This window comes from Homo sapiens, chromosome 12 (genome assembly GCF_000001405.40).
Source record: "Homo sapiens chromosome 12, GRCh38.p14 Primary Assembly".
NCBI classification, from domain to species: Eukaryota; Metazoa; Chordata; class Mammalia; order Primates; family Hominidae; genus Homo; species Homo sapiens.
In genome coordinates, this window is record NC_000012.12 from 117,138,545 (window position 1) to 117,161,248 (window position 22,704).

Genomic DNA, 22,704 nt, shown 5'->3' on the forward strand with positions numbered 1-22,704 from the left:
CGGGCGCGGTGGCTCATGCCTGTAATCCCAGCACTTTGGGAGGCCGAGGCAGGCAGATCACTTGGGGTCAGGAGTTCGAGACCAGCCTGGGCAACATGATGAAACAGCATCTCTACTAAAAATACAAAAATTAGTCGGGTGTGGCGCCACACGCCTGTAGCCCCAGCTACTCGGGAGGCTGAGACACAAGAGCCCAGGAGGCGGAGGCTGCAGTGAGCCAAGATTGTGCCACTGCATTCCAGCCTGGGTGGTAGAGTGAGACTCTGTCTCAAAAAAAAAAAAAAAAAAAAAAGTAGGTGGAAATTCTTTTTTTCTCTTTTTCTTTTTTCTCTTTTGAGATAGTCTTGCTCCGTCACCCAGGCTGGAGTGCAGTGGCGCCATCACAGCTCACTGCAGCCTCGACCTCAAACAATCTTCCTGCCTCAGCCTCCTGGGTAGCTGGGACTATAGGCGCAAGCTATCACGCCTGGCTAATTTCTAAATTTTTTGTAGAGATGGGGGTCTTGCTATATTGCTCAGGCTGATCTCAAACTCCTAGCCTCAAGTGATCCTCCCACCTTGGCCTCCCAAAGTGTTGGGATTATACAAGCCACTGTGCCCAGCTGGAAATTCTAACCATGCAAGGATTCTATAATGAGACTACCTAGTTCATTCTCCCAAAATTTCTCCTTTCTGTATTCTATGCAACTTCCTTCCCTGCATTTACTAAATGACGTGTAGCTCTTCCCACTCTCAAAGACTTGAATCATTGTTCTCAGTTTTTTTTTCTTAATTGCACAGCCAAATAGGAAATAGAACTTCCTATGGAAATATTAGCCCACTTTAAACTTAATGATAATAATAATAATAATAAACAAAACCATTGAGAGGGGCACCACTGTATAAAAACCCTAAACTCTATGGTGTTAGCCTAGCAGTCAAGTGGCAAGGAAACACCTCCTGGGGAGGCCGGAAGGCTGGAGAGCTCTGTTTCGGGGTCAGACTTGGTAGAATTGTTGCTTTCGGTTTGCAAGGTGGAACCACTGGCCCTGCGGCCAGTCTAGAGAAAGTAGCCAAAAGAGACAAGGAATACAGTGTGTAGATGGCTCTTTGTTGTTTATCACCAGGGAAGACAAGAAAAACAGGAGTGAAGTAAATATGTGCTGGTTTGAGAACTAAAATGGAAAAGAGACTGAAATCCCAGGTGTCCTGTGTGGAAAAGGCCACTGCTTCTACACACCAACAGGAAAGGAGAATGAAAATCGGCTGCGCCGGTAGCTCACGCCTGTAATCCCGGCATTTTGGGAGGCCGAAGCAGGTGAATCACTTGAGGCCAGGAGTTTGAGACCAGCCTGGCCAACATGGCAAAACCCCGTCTCTACTAAATATACAAAAATTAGCTGGGAGTGGTGGTGCATACCTGTAATCCCAGCCACTCAGGAGGCTGAGGCACAAGAATCACTTGAAGCCAGGAGGCGGAGGTTGTAGTGAACCGAGATCACGTCACTGCACTCCAGCCTGGGCGACAGAGCAAGACTCCGTCTTAAAAAAAAAAAAAAAAAAAAAAAAAAAAAGCCAGGTGCGTGGCTCACACCTGTAATCCTAGCACTTTGGGAGGCTGTGGTGGGTGGATCACAAGGTCATGAGATCGAGACCCATCCTGGCCAATATGCTGAAACCTCATCTCTACTAAAAACACAAAAATTAGCTGGGCGTGGTGGCACACACCTGCATTCCCAGCTATTCGGGAGGCTGAGGCAGGAGAATTGATCAAACCCAGGAGTACAAGGTCGTGCCGCTGCTCTCCAGCCTGGGTGACAGATCGAGACTCCATCTCAAAGAAAATCACCGAACAACAAAGACCCGTTAAATGCCTGTAATCAGCACTTTGGGAAGGCGAGGCAGGTGGATCACCTGAGGTCAGGAGATTGAGACCAGCCTGATGATTGACATGGTGAAACCCCATCTCCACTAAAAATACAAAATTAGCTGAGGGTGGTGGCACGTGCCTGTATCCCAGCTCCTTGGGTGGCTGAGGCAGGAGAATCGCTTGAACCCAGGAGACAGAGGTTGCAGTGGGCTGAGATTGCGCCACTACACTCCAGCCTGGGCAAGAAGAGCGAAATTCTGCCTCAAAAAATAACAATAAAAATTTTTCACTTAAGCAGTGAGCCTCACCTTTGGTTAATATCAGATGAAGGCAGCCACATTAAGCCACGTTAAGTCAGGGGGAAGAGAGAGCCAAGAGGTGATAAAGCTGGCTACGATTGCTGGCACCAATAGGTTAATGGCTTGCTAAGCTTTAGAGGGAATCATTGCCAGAGGAATTGCAAGCTTGTTGTACAAATAAGTAAATAAAAGTCTTGGACAGGCCCCTAAAGCTGCACCCAGCAGGAAGTGGAGTGTGAAAGTTGGCCAGCACCCCGGCAGGATGCACCCGACACCCACTTCTGAGGAGACCAGAGAGGATGAGATTTGAGGAAGAACTTCCCAGAGGGCAGGGAGTTCCTCCCGGAGAGCAGAGTCAGGGCTTATGCAAGAAACGTCACCCCCGGCCATGACAAAGGCAGGGGTCTTACCAAGGTCCCCCGCGAGTGGGATTTCATCCCTGCTAGAGACCAGCAACTTGTTTCATTCTTTCTTTTTCTCAAATGGGAGTTCTTATTGCAGCTGCCGTCCCTGCTTCACCTCTTAATGGGAATTGGGGGTGGGGGATCCCGGAGGCGCCACGCTGGGCTGATGGAGGGAACTTGCACGGCCCAGGGAAACTGGGCTGAGTAGGATGCAGGGACCGCGGAGGGCTCTGGGGGTGAGGCACACACAAGTCTGTGCCCACCAAACCTTTTCTCTTCCTTTCGGGCCCACAGGAAACCATTTGGCACCTCCTCTGGAACGAAGGTGTGGCCGGCCACTTGAGATCTGGCTGTTGAGGCAGAGGTAGTGCATGTGACCCACGCGGTGAGAGGTCTGCTCCCCGCTGCTGCAGCCATCTGCGGTGGAGACCGTGAGTGTACACAGACAGTGCCATCTGAAGGGAACTCCACTGCCTCTATGTGCTACTTAGGCAGGGGCGACTGAGCCGGAGACTGCAGAAATGTGTCCGTCCCCACGGACAGCCTGGCTTAGCTGTCCGTGGCTGTCTCCTGCGGTGGAGGAGCACACTGGAGTGGCCCGTGCAGTGGACCAGAGCTTCCACCCACACTGTGTTCTGTCTCCTTTCCTAGAACACAACTGGACGTTTCCCACCTCCGTGCAAAATGAGTGGACATAAGGGGTGCCACTTCCACACCTGGCTCATGGAAGCTCCCAGATGGTCTCAGCCCTCCATGCTCCCCGCTACTTCAGGCGGGATGGAGATGGACGGCTCAGGTTGCTCTGATGCCTGCCTGCATAAGGGCTGCCCTGCCAGCCCATTCCCCTGCCCAATATTATGGAAGCAAAAACGTTCTATGGTGTTTGAGCCATTGTTGCTTTTCGGGTCTATTTATTACAGAACTAGCAGAGCCCTAATACAGTCATTGCTACGTGGCCATAATACATGTATTCTATAATTGCGCCTAATTTTATTCACCGGAGGGACGTCCTTTACTTTCAAGATTCTAAATTTTTCAGAAATGCAACATTCAAGGTTAAAGTCGCTGCTAGACCAAGGCTAAACCGTGGCGAGGTAGTTGCTTGCGCCGCAGAGTGTGGGTGTGAACAGCTGGAGCTCAGTGGTTCCTGGAGACTCAGGGACCACCTGTATTCCACATCCGGCTTCCCACCCACGCACACGCAGTATGACCTGGGTTTCCCCTTTATACAGTGGAATGCTAAGTGCCTACACCCTAGCCGGGGTCAGCCAACTATGGCCTGTGGGCACCATCCCACCTGCAGCCTGTTTTTGAGCTAAGAATGTTGTTGACACTTTTAAAAACAGAGAACATGTGACAGTCTGTACGTGGCCTGCAAAGCCTAAAATCTTTACTATCTGCGTCTGCTTTATAGGATTGCTGGGAGGATTACAAAGACTTTATTAGGCCAGTGCCCGGCTCAAAGTTAGCATGCCACACAAAATAATACGTACAGTACAGCTATTCACGTCTCCAAAAAGCAATTGTCCCACATCCAAATTTTGCATTTTGTCCAGTTGATGTCTCTCCTTCCCTCCAAAAAAAAAAAAAAAAAAAAAAGACAAAATAAAAACACGAAGAGCTGCATCTTGATCATCATGGACAGATACTTTTCAGTTAAAAAGTTGCTGGTAGTCTGAGTTCACTTACTTGGAGTATGGACTAAGGAGGGGAAAGCAAAGAGATGCGACATCAGCAGCAGAAAGCCTGCGACACGGCAGCTCTGCTCAGTTTTCTCCGTGGGGAAAGATCGGAACACTTACAAATGAGAACGGGACTTTAAGTAGATAGTATGCAATGGAAAACTGAGCCGGCAACAGTACTTAATGCTGGTTTTCTCAATAAAATCATTTTGCTGTGTAAACGCGCTTATAATGGGGATCTGTTATGAGTCTCAGGCAGGCGACATGAAAGCCGGCCTTTCAAAATCTGATTAGGTGGATAATGTTTGCAAACATGACGCCTGGCAAAACCGGTCTGATTCTAAGGTAAACTCATTTTGGACATAACTGATGTCTCACTGAGACAGCTTTTCAAAGCATGTCTGCAAACACCGGACCCCCGGGGACGGTGCGTGCGTGTAGGGGAGGGAAATTCCAGGGTTTCATATATCAAGATGACACACCCGCTGCACACTTCTCTTAGAAAGTCACGACGCACAGTACTGTGCGTCACAGGTATTGAGAAACACCACCATAGAGTCAATTGACTTTGTTTAACCTATAACCTTTTTTCCTCCCACATAGTAGGTAGTAACATCACACGGAAACAGTGCTCTGAAGACATTCTGGACACATCGTATACAGCACAGCCATTCAAATCAACGGCAACAGAACGCACGAAGAACCTGGTTTTCTTTCAAAGCATGAGCAGTTCTCATTTTACAACATGTGTTTTAACATAATTCAGAAAGTGCAATCTTTGCATGACAACCAGATAATTCTCAAAGGTTACTAGTGAGCTGATAAAATTAACGTTTGGCAAGGAGGTCATGGTTTACAGGTAGGCTGTCCGCTCACCAATGCTCAGAAAAATTCAGCAGAACATACTTTTCATATTTAGATCCGAAGAGAGGTGAGAGACATTCTACTCAAGTCATGGCTGGGCTTTCTGTCCTCAAACGAAATTGGGCAGGCCATTTGCGTGGTTTCTCTGGATAAGTTCCATTTATTAATCATTGTACAAAAAAATCTTGGCATTCATTTGAAGAGAAAAGAAGTTGCTATATCCAAATATTTAACATTTTAACATTGTGAAAGTTCAACGTTTATAACAGGGCTTTTTAAAATGGAGAAAAGTTTTGGAAAATTTTTAAAAAGAAACTTATGATTTATTAGAGTACAGGATCCAAAACACGTTTTTAGAAAAATATAAAGTGCCCAAATACCAACTTACACAGGTGATACAGGCTTCCTGGAGCCCCATGAAGCATTCATGAAGAAAGACATTTAAAAACAGTCTAGATACATATGTACAGCTGGGTCAGTAAAGGTAAAACCATCTTTCTTGACTTTGATGTGTCTAAGAAAAAAGGAAATCAATCAAACCAGAAAACCAACAATTGCAACTCTCAGCATGCTCAGGTTCTTATTAATGCATCTCATTCATATTAATTAATTCCGTATTATCAAACTTTCCCCTTTAAATGAAAGTAGTGTACAATCCTCCCAACCTTGGCGGGCCAGGTGCTGTGAGTGGTTACGTTTCCAGATGCAGGTTCAAATCCTTTGACTTTGGATTTGACTGATGAGGAACATGGACAGTGGATTAAATAGCTCATTCAGGCTGGAGGAGCCAGGGGCCAAATCCCCATCTCTTTCTAGTAACTGCTTAAAGCCTTCCCTTGCTATGAAGTGGTCTCAGGTGGCTTTCCAAACCTTGGTCACCCCAGGGTTTCCAAAGGGTAAACAAGCAGCAGGCATTCAACATGGGTGAGAATACTGCATGCAGATGGACAGACAGGTGCAGAGACAGGCCCCTAACGCCCCATTCACTAGAGCAACTGCATTATTTTAAATGTTGAGAGCAAAGTAACTAGGTCCTAACTTCGGAAGTTAGCTTCTATCGATTAATGACAAGATTAGCTCGCTTGAGAACTGGCAGGCCGAGAGTTGGTGGAGCTCCAGAGCTGCACAAAGGCGTGCAGTTACTCTGGGCTCAGTTACTGAGAACTTCGGAAAGGAGCCAGTGCCGTCCGAACACACGGTCAGGCTTTCCCAGAAGACGCCACAACAGGCTTCGTCCTGCTGCCGTCAGGACCCTGGCGGCTTGGAAAAGCAGATTCCAACACGCACATCTCCTTTCACACAAGTCCAACACTCTTCAAATGAAAGACATTCTCTCTCTTTCTAACCTGCCACATTCAAACAGGCCTTGAAGTGACTCTAAGGAATAACAAGAGGTGTGAAACCACTTTTTTTCCCTTCAAAACCTTTTTTTTTTTTTTTAAGGTTCATTAATTTTTTTTTTTCCTGATTACAAAAGCAAAACCTCATTTTTTGGTCTTTGAAGACCATGGAGTATGACTTCTAAGAGCAAACATTAACATCAGATTTGTATGTCTCACTACAAAAAGAACCCATCACTGATGTAAGACCTACTCATGATACTGAAGTAGATTTTTTAAATTAAAAAATAAAAGTAGTCATTTAAAATGGAGGAATTGTAGATGAGTATGGAAAAATCCATTCACAAAGTTCACTATTTGCATTTTCTAAAAGAATTTTATGTAATAAAATAGAAAACTAATGATTTATAGAGATGTGCATAAACTCAAGAGAGGAATATGGAAGGGAAAACTGTGTTATATTCCCATTTAAATTTAAAAAAAAAAGATAAAACACTTGAAATCTGTGTTTCACATATTAGAAAAAAATAAATTCAAATGATTCTAATTACCATTAGCTTGTTAATGTCTCCATCTCTAAGATGCTGCCAAGATAGCACACAACTTTACCTCTGAATATGCAACTAACTTCAGGGTAAAAAGACACACAGTCCTCACTCGGGACCGAACACGTTCCACAGAGAAATCAGAAGGAAATTATTGCAAATGCATAACCCCATCTGTCCAGCCAAGGAAATGTTCTGAGACAAATGCAGACAGACAGGGGAATGGAGTGAATACAAAGAATGATTACAGGAGCGTCGACTGTGAGACCTCATGAAGACAGAATGTCACAAACTGTCACCACAGGACAAGCATACAAGCCATGCCACTGACACAGTGCCTTTCAGATTAATTCACTAGTGTAGGCGGAGAGCAACATTGTCTTTGCAGCTGGGGAAGAGCACACGGTATTTAAACTTAGTAGGAGGCAACCAGCACTACTGGTGGAGTGGCTTTCCTGGTGCAGCAGGTCCCGAGGGCTCCGTGGAGACGTCTTCTTCCGGAGTCCCGTTCTCTTGGAAGATAGCAGCAGCAGCAAAGGTGCAATGTCCTCTCTAGACTTTACTCATCTATGTTCTCTTTCTTTGCACTGTAAATATTCTGCACCGTTTCATAGACAAACTCCAGATCTTCTGGATACCGGATCTCCAGCTCTGCGTTTGGGATGTAGTGAGTGCCAGTAAACTCTGAGAAATAGCGTCCCACGTCAGGGTGTGAGATTTCTTGAGGCTCCACGTTATATTCCAAGTTTTCTGTTGGTAAAGAGGCACACGGGCATTCTCATTACAATGTCCATTGCTGCCACACCTTTCATCCAGAGAACCTCCCATCACCCCTTCCAGGTGGCATTTTTGGGGTGGAGAAGGGAAGACTGAAGATGTTTATGGAGTCAGGAGAGGGTAATGGGAAAAGGGCAGCAAGTGGCAATCAGGAGAAGGTGGGTGGTGGCACGGGTGTCTCAAGAGCTCCCCACGGAACAGCAGGATCTTCCTCATCTCTAAGCAGGATGTCTGGCTCCAGCAAAACTCCAAAGGTCTCTTGGGGACTGGCAAACTAGAGACTCAACAGGTCTCTCTGACTGGACAATGGGACAACATTATCCCTGCCTGCTCTTTTTTTGGCAGTGGCTAAGTTTCTGAAGCTGCCATGTCACATGGTGACAAGTCTCGTACCTGCCACCCCTCTCCTCTATTCACAGGAGCCCCTCATGCAGACCACACTTTCCACCCGAGCTCCTTCCAACACTGGCCCTTAGCTTCCAACAGAGAGCAGCCTCTTTCCAGGGCTGCTGTGAGACCGTGGGATGAAAGGAAGGTGGCTTGCACCTCCAGACCCCATGTGGATATCAGATGTTATTATCTGTACCATCTCTTGGGAAAACCATGCTACCTCTTCTCTCTGTTCTCTATTTTGCCACTAGAGAAATAGAAAATAAGGCTGGGAGCAGTGGCTTATACCTGTAATCCCAGCACTTTGGGAGGCTGAGGCGGGAGAATCACCTGAGGTCAAGAGTTCAAGACCAGCCTGACTAACATGGTGAAACCCGTCTCTACTAAAAATACAAAAACTAGCCAGGCATGGTGGTGCACTCCTGTAGTCTCAGCTACTCAGGAGGCTGAGACAGGAAAATCGCTTGAACCTGGGAGGAGGAGGTTGCAGTGAGCTGAGATTATGCCATTGCACTCCAGCCTGGACAACAAGAGCAAAAGTCCATCTCAAAAAAAAGAAAGAAAGAAAGAAATAGAAAATAAGACTGAAAAAATGGAAAAAAAAAAAAAAAAAGAAAAAAAAAAGGGCCAGGTGCAGTGGCTCATGCCTGTAATCCCAGCACTTTGGGAGGATGAGGTAGGGGGTCATGAGGTCAGGAGTTTAAGACCAGCCTGGCCAAGATGGTAAAACTCCATCTCTACTGAAAATACAAAAATTAGCTGGGCGTCATGGCGGGCGTCTGTAATCCCAGTTACTTGGGAGGCTGAGGCAGAGAACTGCTTGAACCTGGGAGGCGGAGGTTGCAGTGAGCCAAGATCACACCACTGCACTCCAGCCTGGGCAGCAGAGCAAGACTCCATCTCAAAAAAAAAAAAAAAAAAAAAGAGATAATACAGGCAAGGTATTTAAAAGGCTTGGTTTCCCACTTCCCCAGAACACCTGGAACAAGGCTCCTCCACAGGGCCAGTTAAAGGACGGTGCTTTGTGCGCCCTTCTTTGCCGCCCACGGAGGCCTGGCCTAAGACTGGGTGTGGCCCCTGATGCAGGAGAAGCCCAGCTATGCCCTCCATGACCTGACACCGGAAGGAAGCTGGGCTGGGCAGATCCTCCTATTGTGACTGTGTCCCCAGGGCACCCCAGTTCCGATCACTCTGAAGCCATCCTTGGCACTGCCCATCACTCGAATGAACGCAAATGGGTCTATGAATTAATACCAGTAAGGCCAACGATGGGCTCACCGACACGAACAGCGTGGCCTATTATTTCTTAAACAGCTGGGTTAAACATCCTGAAACACAAAGTCAGGGCATCAGAGGCCCTGCATCCCCGAAGTACACAGGATGAACGCAGGCATCTTTCTGAAGCACTGACTTTAACTGGTAGTCTTTGGGGAGAGGGGGAAGGAGTTGTAGGACTCAATCTGCAGGGTTCTTTTTAAACATAAAACAGGAGGAGCTGAAGAAATGTGAGAATATGTTGTTTTAGGCTGTTTCGGCAGACTGTGACCAGGGACAGAACTGCCTGAACAAATCAGTACCGCTGAGGAAGTCACAGACACGTCATGTGCAGAGATAAATGTATGGAGGCTGTTTACCTTAACAGTACTTATGCTAGGAAAACTGGAAGAGCAGTGTAAACGTCCAAGTGTAGGTCACTGTGTGAATAAATGATGGCACATTAATTCAGCAAAGCAGGAGGCGGCCATGAAAATGAGCAACCTGTTTGTAAGATCCTCCAAGAAAGGTGGGGGTAGAAAGGTTGTACCACTTAGAAAGGGCCTGGAAGGCCATGGATCAGGGGTTGCTCCATGACGTGGCACAGTGGCACAGAGTTTAAACTGGGCACTTACAACGTGCCAGACCCCACAGCGGTGTCACAGGCACCCCTGCCACGTAACCCTGGAAGGAGCCCCCTTCTGCTGTTGCGTGGGCTGCCCAAGGATTTAACCCCGGACTCAAACCAGACAGTCCCATTCCAGGGCTGAAGGGAACCAGAAGTAAGAAAAATCCAACAGTCAGGAGACAGCAGGCGGGGAGGGGCTGGGTAGACTCAGAGAACACCGCTGCCCCCAAAGGGACGCTCCAGCCCACATTAACACACAGGAGCCTGTGGTTTCAGGACCTCCCACTTTTCCCCGAAGGAAACTGAGTCATCCACTAACTCTGATCTCTCTACTGTTGTCAGGTCTCTAGAGATGATTTTCTCTTGGGAAAAATCAATAAATGTTAAAAAACAAAATGCTGCAAATGTTTCAAAATGCCACTGGCTAAGATGCCCTTTCCTGTCCACCCACTGCTGCCACCTCCCTCTTCACATCCAGTAACAGGAGGAACCAACTAGCAAAGCATATTTTCCTTGAGGAGGCTTACGGGGACATGACCACAACCTGGTATCTTAACCAGGCCACCTGCCAGGGCCCTGGCCTTTGGATTTTCTTTTCTTTTTTGTAGAGACAGGGTCTTGCTACGTTGCCCAGGTTGTTTTCAAACTCCTGGGCTCAAATGATCCTCCTGTCTTGGCCTCCCAAAGTGTTGGGATTACAAGTGTGAGCCACCACGCCTGGCCATGTTTGGATTTTCTTGCAGAGCTGCACAGAAATAGTAGAGGGTAAAGAAGCTGGGAATACCATCGAGACAAAAATCCCCTTTGCTCTAAGGGAACCACTGTTACCTGTCATTGGTAAACAGGACATAGGTATCTGAAGTACACAGAATTCAAGCAGGTAGTTTAGAATAACTGCTTTGTTGCCAGTTCGTCTGGAGCAGTTCTCATCTGGGGGCTCTTTTGCTACTAAAGGGACATCTGGTAAGGCCTGCAGACATGTTTGGTTGTAACTGAGAGCTGCTGCCAGCTTGCAGTGGGTGGAGGCCAGGGGTGCTGCTAAGTACCCTACAACGCACAGGACGGCCCCCCACAAACGGTTATCTTGACCAACATGTGACTAGTGCTGGGCTGACAAGCCCTGCTCCAGAGACCCAGCCCTGTGTTTCAGCATTGTTCCCTTCTCCTCCACTTTTTCCTTTCTATGTATTATCGAGGGACAGCCTGGTGTTGGTAACATTCGGCTTCTGTTGGGAGGAGGAAAGAAGCGGAAACTCAGGTTATCAAACACAGATGTGCCAGGGCAACAGGACCCAACAGCTACTACACAGAATTCTGAACATGGGCCCAGAACAAGATGCATGAGAAGTCCAGGCAGGAACGGTGGGAAACCAGGCAAGAAGTAAATGACAGTCCTCGAGGGTGCTCCCAGCCCCACTCCTGGCTGTTAGAGAGGAGCAAGGACTGGATTTGGTGCATTTACTGGCCTGAGCTCCTAGCTTGCTAAGAAGCAGAACAGGAAAAAATTAACAACATAATGAAGTTGGCAACTATGTATTATGAAAGAAAAATAAATGCCAATCCACTAAGAAGATTTTCCCAAAGTTTACTTGTAAGAAAAATGATAAATCTAAGTAACACAAAACTTAATTGAGTAAAACATGAACCAGGCACCACTTAAAAGTTCTGAAAAATCCTGAGAAATCTTCCTGGATTCTCTTCAAGTTTTCAGAGAAATCTGTCTGCTTATTTTAACGTTCAGCTACCCCAAAATATATGAATAAATACTATGGAAACACTACCCATGAGTCCTGTGTGGGCACCTGTCCTGTCCTGATCCGGTCTTCCTCTCCAAGAGAAAAGCACCATCGGTGCCAGTGTGTCGCTGCAGTCCTCCTGTGAGCACACACATAGGCAGCTAGATACCCTAAGTATACTTAAAATTTAGTACTGCTTTATGTGTGTGTACTTAAACAAAACGTATTCTAACCACTCACCCGCAACTGGCTTATTCAATTGCAGCTTAGTATTCATTCCAGTCTGCATAGACCCCAGGCTACTAGAAGACTCCTTGTGAATGACAATTGTCTTGCTATTTTAACAAAGGGGCCAAAGACCTCCTTGTACACGTGTGGAGGGATCGAGGTGGAACTGCTAGGCTGGAAGAGAATGTGTGCTTGAGATTTTTACAATTTGAAAGCGAAAGCCAAAGCATCCTCTGACATGTTTGTGCCACTTAACACTCAACCCCACCCCCATGCAGGGGATCCCCATTCACCTCACCACACTTGCCAGCAGGTACAGCTGGCCATGGACTGTGTGTGTGTGTGTGTGTGTGTGTGTGTGTCAGGCGGGAGGACTGTATGGGTGGAAAGTTGAGTTTGGAAGTATCAAATAAGTTTGTGTGTGTGTGTGTGTGTGTGTGTGTGTGTGTGTGTGTGTGTGTGTCGGGCGGGGAGGACTGTATGGGTGGAAAGTTGAGTTTGGAAGCATCAAATAAGTTATGGAAAAGGGAACCAACGTTTGTCGAGGACATGCCATGTGCCAAGCATTGTACAGGTGCTTTACCATTACAGACAAAACTTAAGAACGAGATTTTCACATGGTAGTTGAATTCCTGGCCTTTCAATACGGCGGCTGACCTAGACTCGGAGCTTCCGAGAAGTCCAGAAGGAGGCGGGACAGGAGCGGCACTCTCCCACCCAGGGCCATGAAAGTATCAAAGCGCGCCCCCTTGTGGGAACACAACATTACACACATGCAAGATGCCGGACATCCCATTAGGGTTTAGGTGAGAGAGTACACACCGGGGAAAGAATTCTCTTCATTGTACAAACTAAAACTATTTGAAGATGTCATATATGTATGTGATTTCTAATTCACTCTTCAACTCTCCGTGCAGAGCTAGTAATTAGAAAAGCATTATGAATGGGTTCTACCTGGGCTAATAGGATCATTGGAGCCAAAGGCTGGAAATTTAGATCAAGAAAAGTGTTTAAAAAATACATTTCATAAAAACACATTAACCCAGAAATGTTCAAAAAATATTTAATATGTGTTTTTAAAATTTGGCCTCTCACTGGCTAAAAATGGGCAAATGTGAGCATAAAATTGTCCCACGTGATTATAACACATTGAATAAATAAAAATCCAGGAATCTATGGCAGAGACAAGGGCAGGGGAGGAGAGAGGGAGGGGGAAGGGAGAGGCAGGGAGGAAGAAGGCGGCTCTTGTTCATTGAAGTAGAGAGAATAACAGTGGTGGAAAAATCACCACTCGGCAATTCTCATACAAAGATTTAGGCAAGGATATTCAAAAAGTGCTAAAACCATGATGTTCAAGGTCACTGGGGAACAGGATCTTTACAGGATGCTACAGAGTGACCACGTGGATTTCTTAATTGAAATAGTGAGTCACTATCTTAGCCAAGTGACCAAACTCAGTATCACTCACAGGGGGCCCCTGATGAGACCCAGTGGGAAGCACGGGGCGAGGGATGTGAAGTATCCTCCCCAAGAATTCTTATCCCGATCTAATCAGGACTCAGACTTCACTCCCAGCTGGCAGACATCATACAGTTAAGGAACCAATGAGGCAAATCCAAAATGTTATACAATTTACAAGACAATGGCCAGGCACGGTGGCTCACACCTGTGATCTCAACACTTTGAGAGGCTGAAGCGGGCAGAATGCTTGAGTCCAGGACTTCGAGACCAGCCTGGGCTACATGGTGAAACCCCATTTCTACAAAAACACAAAAAATAGCCAGGTGTGGTGGTGCATGCCTGCAGTCCCAGCTACTTGGGAGGCTGAGATAGGAGGATCAATTGAGCCCAGGAGGTTGAGGCTGCAGTGACTCATGTTTGTACCACTGCACTCCAGCCTGGGTGACAGAGCACCCTGTCTCAAAAAAAAAAAAAAATTTACAAGACAACCAGTCTGGATTCTTCAAAAAGTCAAAGTCATATGAAAAAGGGGGGAAAAAAAATGAAGAATGAGGAACTGTCTTTAATAAGAGAGACTAAAGAGAAAAAAAACAACCAAATGCAGTGAATGAATTCTGGTTGGATACTGATTTTAAGAAACAAGCCAAAAATAGGCATAAAGTTATTTTGTGACAATTGAGAAATTTGAAAACTATTAGATATTATAAAATAATTGTTACTAGGTGTGATAATGTAATTTGGTTATGCAGAGGAATCTCCTTATACTCAGACATAATTAGGTCATGTCTGCAATATTCTTTCAAATGGTGCAGGAAAACAGTAAAATCTCTATAGATAAAGCAAATATGGGAATCATTTACTGTTGAATTGACTAGAGGGTAAATGGGGGTATTTGATGTATTCTTTTAACTGTTCCACGTGCGAGCAAGAATGATGACTTCAAAGAAGATGAACGGAAGTGGGCTGGAGTATGTCAGGCGTGGGAACCGTGCTGGGGCTGTAAGGGGAAGGCCAGATCCCTAGGGCCTGGTAAAGCATTCTGCACTGCCTGCCGATGAGAAACTCCTGATGGTCAGTCAATTCAAGCAGCAAGTGGCCCGGTCCAGGGACACGCTAGGAAGATCCTCTTGCTGTTGCTAAGGAAAATGCCCGGTTGGGGACAGGCCGGGAGGCAGGTGCCAGTTAGGAAGTAGGCAAGCAGAGACCACCAGAATGGAAATGGGAGACACATGAGGAGACAGCAGTGGGTGTGTAGACAGATGTATCGCGAGGGCAAGGGGAGAAGAGCAAGACACGGCCCCCACGTGGTGTCACTAGTGAGATGGGGCAGGCAGGAGCAAGGGGGGTATGGGGGCACAATGAGTTCATGTTTTTTCTTTCTTTACAGAGATAATCGAGTTAAAACAATGGGTTCAGTGAGTCGGGGTAACAATGTTGGAGAGAAGACCCCTGAGAGCCCTCCAAGCACACATGCCCGGGGGCTGTTACAGAGGTGGGCACGGAGCCCAGAGAAGAGCCCAGAGAACACGGCTTTGGGAGTCACCAGCACATCCACAGACACCCCAAGGGGGAAGGAGATGAAGGCCTAGAGGAGAGTCCCCTGGAGAGGGAGGACCCTGAAGACAGCCACGTATCAGGCATGCTGGGGGAGATCTGCCCCTTGGCCCAGGACTCCGAGTCCCTCAGGAAGCGCTTGCTGACACAGCGCTGATGGAGCCGCCGGCAGAAGACGGGAACTCTCATAGTGTAGGAACAGCTTTGAAGTTCTACGTTTTAAATTCAAGAAGCCAATTTGCTAACATTACCCATCATTTAGTTCCATCTCAATTTAACAGATGGTAAAACCAACAAGCAGATATTAATTTTTTCAGTAATGACAATTTTATGACTAAACCTTACATTGCATGTTTACCTAGATATGATTAGAGATCAACTTCTGAAGTGAACATATCACAACCCCTAAAACCAAATACTTAAGACCAACCCTAAACAGTGAATAATGATGCCATGTGGTAAAGCCATAGACACTGGCCCACGGTGTTGTTGAAAAGAAAATGCTCATTTATTCTTGTGAACGCCATTTGTTGTAGGCTATCAAGCGTTTACCAGGTGACTTGTGCTGGCACCAGTGGCCCAGTGAATCAGTCAATAATGTCCAAATCATGTGTTGATTTTTAGAGATTGTTTATATTCGACACAGCTTCAAAAGTTAAATAACATTACCGTTGGTGCCTCCATCTGCCACAGGGAGCACAGAAACCCCTTACACCATCCCCATCACACTGAGACAGGGCAAGCGACCTGCAGTTTCAACAAACATTTATCTTGATGCTGCTGTTCCAGGGGATCCTTTCAGTTTCTGATTAACTGACAATAATCATTATTTTCCAGCCTTTTATTTTAAGATGAGGTCTCACTCTGTCACCCAGACTGGAGTGCAGCAACACAATCAGAGCACACTGTAGCCTTCACTTCCCAGGCTCAAGTGATCCTCCCAACCCAGCTTCCTGAATAGCTGGGACCACAGGTGTACACTACTCTGCCTGGCTAATTTTTAAATTTTTTTGTAGAGATGGGGTCTTGCTGTGTTGTAGCTGGGAACACAGGTGCACATGACTCTGCCTGGTTAATTTTTAAATTGCAGAGATGAGGTCTTGCTGTGTTGCCCAGGCTGGTCTCCAACTCCTGAGCTCAAGCAATCCTCCTGCCTCACCCTCTCGAAGTGCTGGGATTATAGGTGTGAGACACCTCACCTGGCAATCTCCAGCCTTTCAGAAAGTTCTGAGGTTTTTATACATCCCATATTTTGATTATTGGATTTATCAGAACATAATATTGAGTTAGGTCAAAACTCAGACATGAGCAGGTACAGCATGATGGATGAAGAGGAGGCTCTGTCAAGCTGCCTGGCTTCAAATCGTGTTCTCTAAGTTAAAATCTCAATGGCTTCCCTGTGCCTCAGTTTCCTCACCTAGAAAATGATGATGATGATGTTTCTCAAATGGAGTTAATATACATTAGAATGATGTCCGTCACAGAATGGCACTACATTAGCATTCACATTCATTTTTATTAATAAATGTGAATTATTAATTAATCAATGTGAATGCTTTGACAGACATACACTGAATTCATCCTATTAAGTAGAGGTGAAATTCAACAGGAACAAAGAGAAGGGAGACTCACACTGAAGGCATTCTTGTCTCTTACCAGCTTCCACAGGCTCTGTCAGTCTCCACCTCAGCCTTGCCCTGGGCTGGCACCTGCCGGGGCGGCAGTGGCCCAGACGCCTACCCAACCTTACTGTACACTTGCGGGCTCTCAGGTGCTCCCAGGGCCGGCGCAGTGGGCTGCAGTTCCCACAGGTGGCCACACGAGGGCATCTCCGGCGTCAGCCGGCAGCCACAGCCTTGGGAGGCCAGGGAGCACTAGGGGGCCCCCAGGTGTTCATCCGGTTCCCTTCTAGTCTGGGAGGAGCCGAGGGCAGGGTCCAGGAGGCAGGACTTACAGGAATTTGATTGGCATAGACAGTGGCCAATCAGATGTCCGGGCTGTGGGAGCGGAGGCCCTGGGGGAGGGCGGGTATGACTACTGACCCCTCGCCAGGGCGGCACCTGTGCAGACCCAGCCACGTTTAGCTGACTGTGGGCCCGAAGGAGGCCGGCCATGGGGCGTCGGCCGCCTCTGAAGGAACCGATGGCCCACGCCCACAGTACCTACCCGAGGGCTCAAACGTGCGCTGAAAACACGCCCGCGGGGCCACTGGCACAAGCGGAACCCGCCGCTTACCTTGGGCTGCGTATCGACAGGAGCCGTCCTCCACCAGCACGTTATAGAAAGGCTGGTGGTGGCCGTGCGGCAGGCTGTGGACGTTCATGTTCCGGATCCACTCGTGTCCCATCATGCAGGTGGGGTCCCAGCCGTAGATCACACAGTTATAGCCATACCTAGTTAACACAGGAGGAGCAGTCAGTCCCTGCAGACCCGGCCGCAACAACCTCCAGACAACCGCGTGGCTTCTCAGCTCACATCCTCAGTTACCTGCTTTACTCCACGGTGAATCATTTTTCAGGACACCCCTAACCCCTTTTATAAACACCTCTTATTATCAACATAGCACTTTATCTGGAAAAGAATAAACTTTTCAACAAAAAGTGATTAGATGACAACTGGTTACCCAAAAGAAAAAGGTATGGGGACCTGGCCTGACAACAGCACACCAAATTCAATTCTCAGTACAGCAAAGACTCAGGTGTTAAATGCAGAACTTCTAAAATAGAAAGTATCTTCATGACTCAAGATAGGGAAGGTTTGTTAAAACAAGGCACTAAAAATACAGCCGTAAAGGAAAAGACTAACCAATCTGACATCACTAAAACCAAGAGACTAACAAATCCTGATCCAAACATGTAAAAATATGAGACAACTGGGGAAATAGGAACTCTCATTAGATACTGCATGAAGTTAAGGAACTGGGGTTTTCTAGATGTGATAATAAGATGTTAAATATGAAAAGACAGAGAAGGAGAGAGCACCCCTGCCTTTTAGAGGTACATACTGAAATCGCTACAGGTGAAATGGCATCTGGCACTTGCGTCAATTAACCCAGGGAGGAAGGTCTGGAGGGTGCAGGGGACAGTAAGATTCACCCCGTATGGCAGCTGTTGAGGCTGGATGACAGGAACACCACCTGGTTCCTTATAGTCCTTTCTCTCTTATAAATCTTTGCAAATTTCCATTTAAAAGTTTAAAAAAATGCAATAAAGAATGAAAACCACCAGCCAAAAACTGGGAAAAGATATTTGCAACTTATCGTCATGTAGATACTGATACACAGAAGAACAACTACATATCATATTAGGGAGGACTAATAACTCAATAGAAAAAAATACACGAAATGGGCTGGGTGTGGTGGCTCACGCCTGTAATCCTAGTACTTTGGGAGCCTGAGACGGCAGATCACTTGAGGTCAGGAGTTAGTGACGTGCCTGGCCAACATGGTGAAACCCTGTCTTTACTAAAACACAAAAAATTAGCCAGGCGTGGTGGTGTGCGCCTGTAGTCCCAGCTACCTGGGAGGCTGAGGCATGAGAGTCGCTTGAACTGGGAGGCAGAGGTTGCAGGTGAGCTGAGATACAACACTGCACTCCAGCCTGGGCAACAGACCCAGACTGTCTCCAAAGAAAAAAAAAAAAAGAAAAAAAGAAAAGAAAAATGAAATGTTTGAATAGGCGCTTAATAAAAGGAAATTTGGAACTTGGATAGCCAGTAAATATATGAAAAGAACCTTAACGTGTTTAGTAACCCAGGAAACAGAAATTAAAACCACAGTGAAACACTATTTGCCCTTTCTCAGGTAAGTACACTTTTAAAGGTCTGGCAATAGCACCAGGCGAGAATAGGAACTCCAGGCTCCCAGCCTGCTGGTGGGATGTAAACTGCTCCAATCACTTTGGATACAGTTTAATTTTGCCTGGTAAATAGACCAAGTGCCTATCGGATTTGAAGAGACTGAGATTAAGTGACAAGATATAAGAACAATGAGGAAATGAGAGAAAAAACTCGTGTCTTACAAAGTTACTTCCATGTTCTCACACACAGAGAAGGGTCAAACATCTAAAGGCCACTAAAAACACTAGAAGATCTCTCAGGAAAGTAAGCTGCTGCTTAAAAAACACAAAGGTCAAAGACACGGTTCAAAAAGAAAAAAAAAGAGGTTCAGCTTTCTGTCTTCCCCGCGGTGCGCACTCGGGGGATAAGTGATCCAGTCAGCTCCTCCTCCACTGTGTCCTGGGGGCTCACCAGGTGCATGTGTGTCTCTGCAGCCCCTCTGGAACGGACACTGCAGGACAGATGATCCCGGGCACTCACCTCTTATGCTTCATAATGAGCCCGATGGAGTAGCAGACATCTCTGTGCTTCTCATCGGAGCGCAGCTTCACCTCTACGCCCACCTCCTCCTTTTTGCGCTCAATGTGCTCTAGAGTGTGCTGCACCAGGTAGCCCACCGCCCCGTGCTGCCCCGGGTCTAGGGTTTGGATGTGCTGGAGGATGTCAAGCACCTTCAAAACAAGACAGAAAGACTAAAAGATAATATTTTCAGCTAGGCCTTTTCTTTTTTGCGGCGAGGGATTTAGACCTACCTACGTAACCTAACAAAGCAAAGGACCAAAAGGGGTGGCTATGCCCTGATCGAACCGGTCCAGGTCTCTGGACCATCCTCTGATGGACCGCCACCAAATCGGCACTGCAGATGCCCAGGGTTGGGCTCTACTGTAACACTGGCAGCTGGCCCAGGATACCCCAATTCAACCAGTGTCAACCTGAGGAGTTCTTTGGAAACCAGTGTGCTGGGATAAGCGCTGGGGACGCAGGTGAGGGCCCACCACCTAGGGCACTCTGGATGAGGTGGGCTCTAACAGCACCTAGCATGCTTGGTCGGCATGGGAAATGTGAGAATCCACGTTTTTTCAATACACAGGAATGATTTTCACTTGCCACTCACGAATTCAGAGGGGAAAAAAAAATGCTAAATTGCTTTAATCGAGACGAAGAGGATGTCTGACACAACTGCCTCAGTGCTGGAAAAGATGGAAAAGGTCACAGAGTGGGCACCAAAGGGATGCATTCGTTGAGTTTATGAAGCTACACTAGAAGGAGGGAGCCACGTATATCAGAGTTCTAAAATCCTGCTGGTCACTTCAGTGGTCTTAACTCATCATGGTATTTGGTATTCAGCAGGCAGCAGGAGAAACTACATCTATGCAGAGGTTAAACTAGTAGCACAGAGTAGCAGCCCTGTCTGACTCCACTATTACCGCCTCTACTGCACACAGTGCCTCTGTGGAAAAAACTCCACGTTTAAAAAGACACAGACATACAATTATTTCGCACCCATTACGTTTACAGCCCTTAGCATAGAATTTCTGACAAGGTTCTCCTTCCAATTTACTGAGTCCTGGATTACAGCCTGCTTAGTGCGTTACAGCAACCTGGACTCTAGGCCCAGATCGGTCAGACTAGCTGGCGTTTTTACCTCTGAATTCCTTTCTTAGCTTATCAAATCATGAGTAATCACTGTCCTATTTGCTGATGCATTGTGAGCCTGTCAAAGTATTGTGAAAACTCCAGTTTTATGCACCATGTTATTATCTTGCCTTTCAGACTGCGACGTGCTGGACCTCAACATTTACTGAACACTATTCTCTGCTGGTCACTGTGCCAAGTCCATCAGGTTTTTTGTTTCACTTAATCCTTCCCATTTGAAGGTCAGTAATTTCTTGATCTTCAAATTGGGAGGATTAGGTGGAAAAAAAAAAAAAGCTTTTAATCACTGCCACTTCCCGAACAGGACTCAGGCTTAGTGAAGTGACTTTCCCGGGGTCACAGGGTTGTGGAGAGGTGGAGTGAGGCTGTGGCTCTGGGTGTGAAGATCAACTCTTGGTCTCAACCAGTGTCATATCCTAGCAAGAGCAGGAGCATTTTAAATTAACTACTACAAAAAGTTCCAAACACATAAAAATGGACAAAGCAGTATAATCCCAAGTACCCCAAACCCAGTTTTGACAAGAATCAACAGACAGCCAATCCCCCTGTGCCTCTACCTCCAGCCGGGTGCTTTTAATTGTGGGACACTCGCAGATTTACCCTTTACTTTAATAGGAAGCGCCTACTGACAGTGCCTGCATAATGGCTGTCCTTGTGGCCTGAAAGAGTACCAACAAGCCGCTTTTTCTGCCCCTCCACTGTGTTCCACACACACAGCTCCCCTTCTCTCCTAGCAGCCACCTCCCCATCAGATAAGTAAAATGGTCAGAACTTGGCATCGTCAGAGAACAGAGGAAGTCTAGATAAGGTCAAGGATAATTACCCCCACCTTCGCTGGATGTGTGGCTGAGCGCGAAGGGAGAGGGCAGAAATGAAGACATTGTGCCTCGGGGCCTGGCGTATTTGCAGACAGTGTTGACCCAGGCACCATGCCGTCCCCACCAAATACTCTAGGGCTAGAATGCCGCAAGATCACCACTTCTGGGGTGGAGATCCTGGATTGGGGTCTATTACCCATGATGCATTTCCCTATACTGCTCTTCTCCCTCTAGCCTAGGGGTTGGTAAACTTTTTCTGTAAAGGGCTAGAGAAGAGACACTAGGCTTTGGGGGCTACACAGTCCCTGATTTAACTACTCAACTCTGCCACTGTAGCTTGAAAAAAGCTATAGATAATAAGTAAACAAACACAACTTATTCACAAAAACAGGCTTTGTGAATCTGGCCCACAAGCTATAGTTTGCTGGCCCCTGCTCTGTCCCTGAATTCCAGGTTCCCTCTAAGGTTCTCTCTGAAGTTCTTGGCTCTGCTTTCTTGAGATCCATTGTCTATGGATCCGCTACTTCTGGGGCTTCAGTTACCAGATGCTGATGCTGGGAGCTCCTGCTAAAGGCTACTGGGCATCTGCACTCGATGGCTTCAGGTCAGGATGAATGCATCATACCCCACACAAAACACTCTCCTACTACCAAAACAGGCCTGCTCTCCAAATACCTACTTTCAGAGTGGCATAAACTGCCCCCGTGTTGAAAAATCTGGACATCCTTTGAGTCTTCTTTATTCATATCTAATGAAGTTCTGCCACATTTTTTTTGAGACAGGGTCTCACCCTGTCACCCAGGCTGGAGTGCAGTGATGTGATCATGGCTCACTGCAGCCTTGGCGTTGACCTCCCAGGCTCAGGAGATCCTCCCACCTCAGCCTCGCAAGTAGCTGGGACTACAGGCACATGCGATCACGTGCAGCTACTTTTTGTATTTTATTTTGGTAGAGACCGGGTTTTGTCATGTTGCTCAAGTTGGTCTCAAACTCCTGGCCTCAAGTGATCCACCTGCCTCTGCCACCCCAAGTGCTGGGATTACAGGCATGAGCCACTGCACCTGGCAGTTATTTCTTAATTATTCATTTAAACAATTTTTTGAGCTCCTATCATGGGCCAGGAATTGTGTTGAGAGCGTGGGGAAGGCGACAGTTAGGAACAAGACCTGGTCCTGGTCCTTAAAGAACATGTTCTAATGGAGACAGATGACGGAGCAGCAGCTACCACAGACTGGACAAAGCTCTAGGAAGGGCAAGCACAGGAACGACGGGAAAACATGACCTGGCCGCACACAGGAACCAGGGAAGGGGTTTCAGAGGAGGCAGAAGTCTAAGCTGACAGCTGGGCAGAAGTGAGCCAGCAAATGGAGTTGAGGATGAGC

At 46.9% G+C, this 22,704-nt stretch overlaps 1 protein-coding gene and 1 long non-coding RNA gene across 5 annotated transcripts in view, besides 3 other annotated features; one reads left to right on the top strand and one right to left on the bottom strand.

Annotated features, from left to right (window-relative positions):
* The window catches only part of TESC-AS1 (TESC antisense RNA 1), a 42,023-nt gene extending 39,078 nt beyond the window's left edge, over positions 1-2,945 (top strand). The window contains exon 3 of the long non-coding RNA NR_120464.1: positions 2,847-2,945. This is a non-coding gene — a long non-coding RNA (TESC antisense RNA 1). The remainder of the gene's footprint in view (positions 1-2,846) is intronic.
* Positions 2,946-3,446: 501 nt separating this feature from the next.
* Positions 3,447-22,704, bottom strand: part of FBXO21 (F-box protein 21) — a 48,480-nt gene continuing 29,222 nt past the window's right edge. For 2 of the 4 annotated variants that reach the window (XM_017019038.3, NM_015002.3), the window contains 3 exons: positions 19,329-19,519; positions 17,247-17,404; positions 3,447-7,733 (listed from right to left, as the gene is read on the bottom strand). In XM_017019038.3, the coding sequence (XP_016874527.1) occupies positions 7,543-7,733; positions 17,247-17,404; positions 19,329-19,519 (540 nt within the window). In that variant the 3' untranslated portion in view covers positions 3,447-7,542. Of the gene's footprint in view, positions 7,734-17,246; positions 17,405-19,328; positions 19,541-22,704 lie in introns of all 4 variants that reach the window. The other 2 variants (XM_017019037.3, NM_033624.3) reach the window with 1 other exon arrangement.
* Positions 4,248-5,447: an enhancer, noted in NCBI's record as "BRD4-independent group 4 enhancer chr12:117580597-117581796 (GRCh37/hg19 assembly coordinates)". NCBI's record gives its function as "activates an origin of replication core promoter dependent on BRD2, P300/CBP, MED14 and CDK7 cofactors, and independent of BRD4, by STARR-seq in HCT116 cells {active_cell/tissue: HCT116}" and the evidence as "EXISTENCE:reporter gene assay evidence [ECO:0000049][PMID:35650434]".
* Positions 4,848-4,927: an enhancer, noted in NCBI's record as "active region_7103". NCBI's record gives its function as "activates an Ori minimal core promoter by ATAC-STARR-seq in GM12878 lymphoblastoid cells {active_cell/tissue: GM12878}" and the evidence as "EXISTENCE:reporter gene assay evidence [ECO:0000049][PMID:35858748]".
* Positions 16,737-16,916: a silencer, noted in NCBI's record as "silent region_4913". NCBI's record gives its function as "represses an Ori minimal core promoter by ATAC-STARR-seq in GM12878 lymphoblastoid cells {active_cell/tissue: GM12878}" and the evidence as "EXISTENCE:reporter gene assay evidence [ECO:0000049][PMID:35858748]".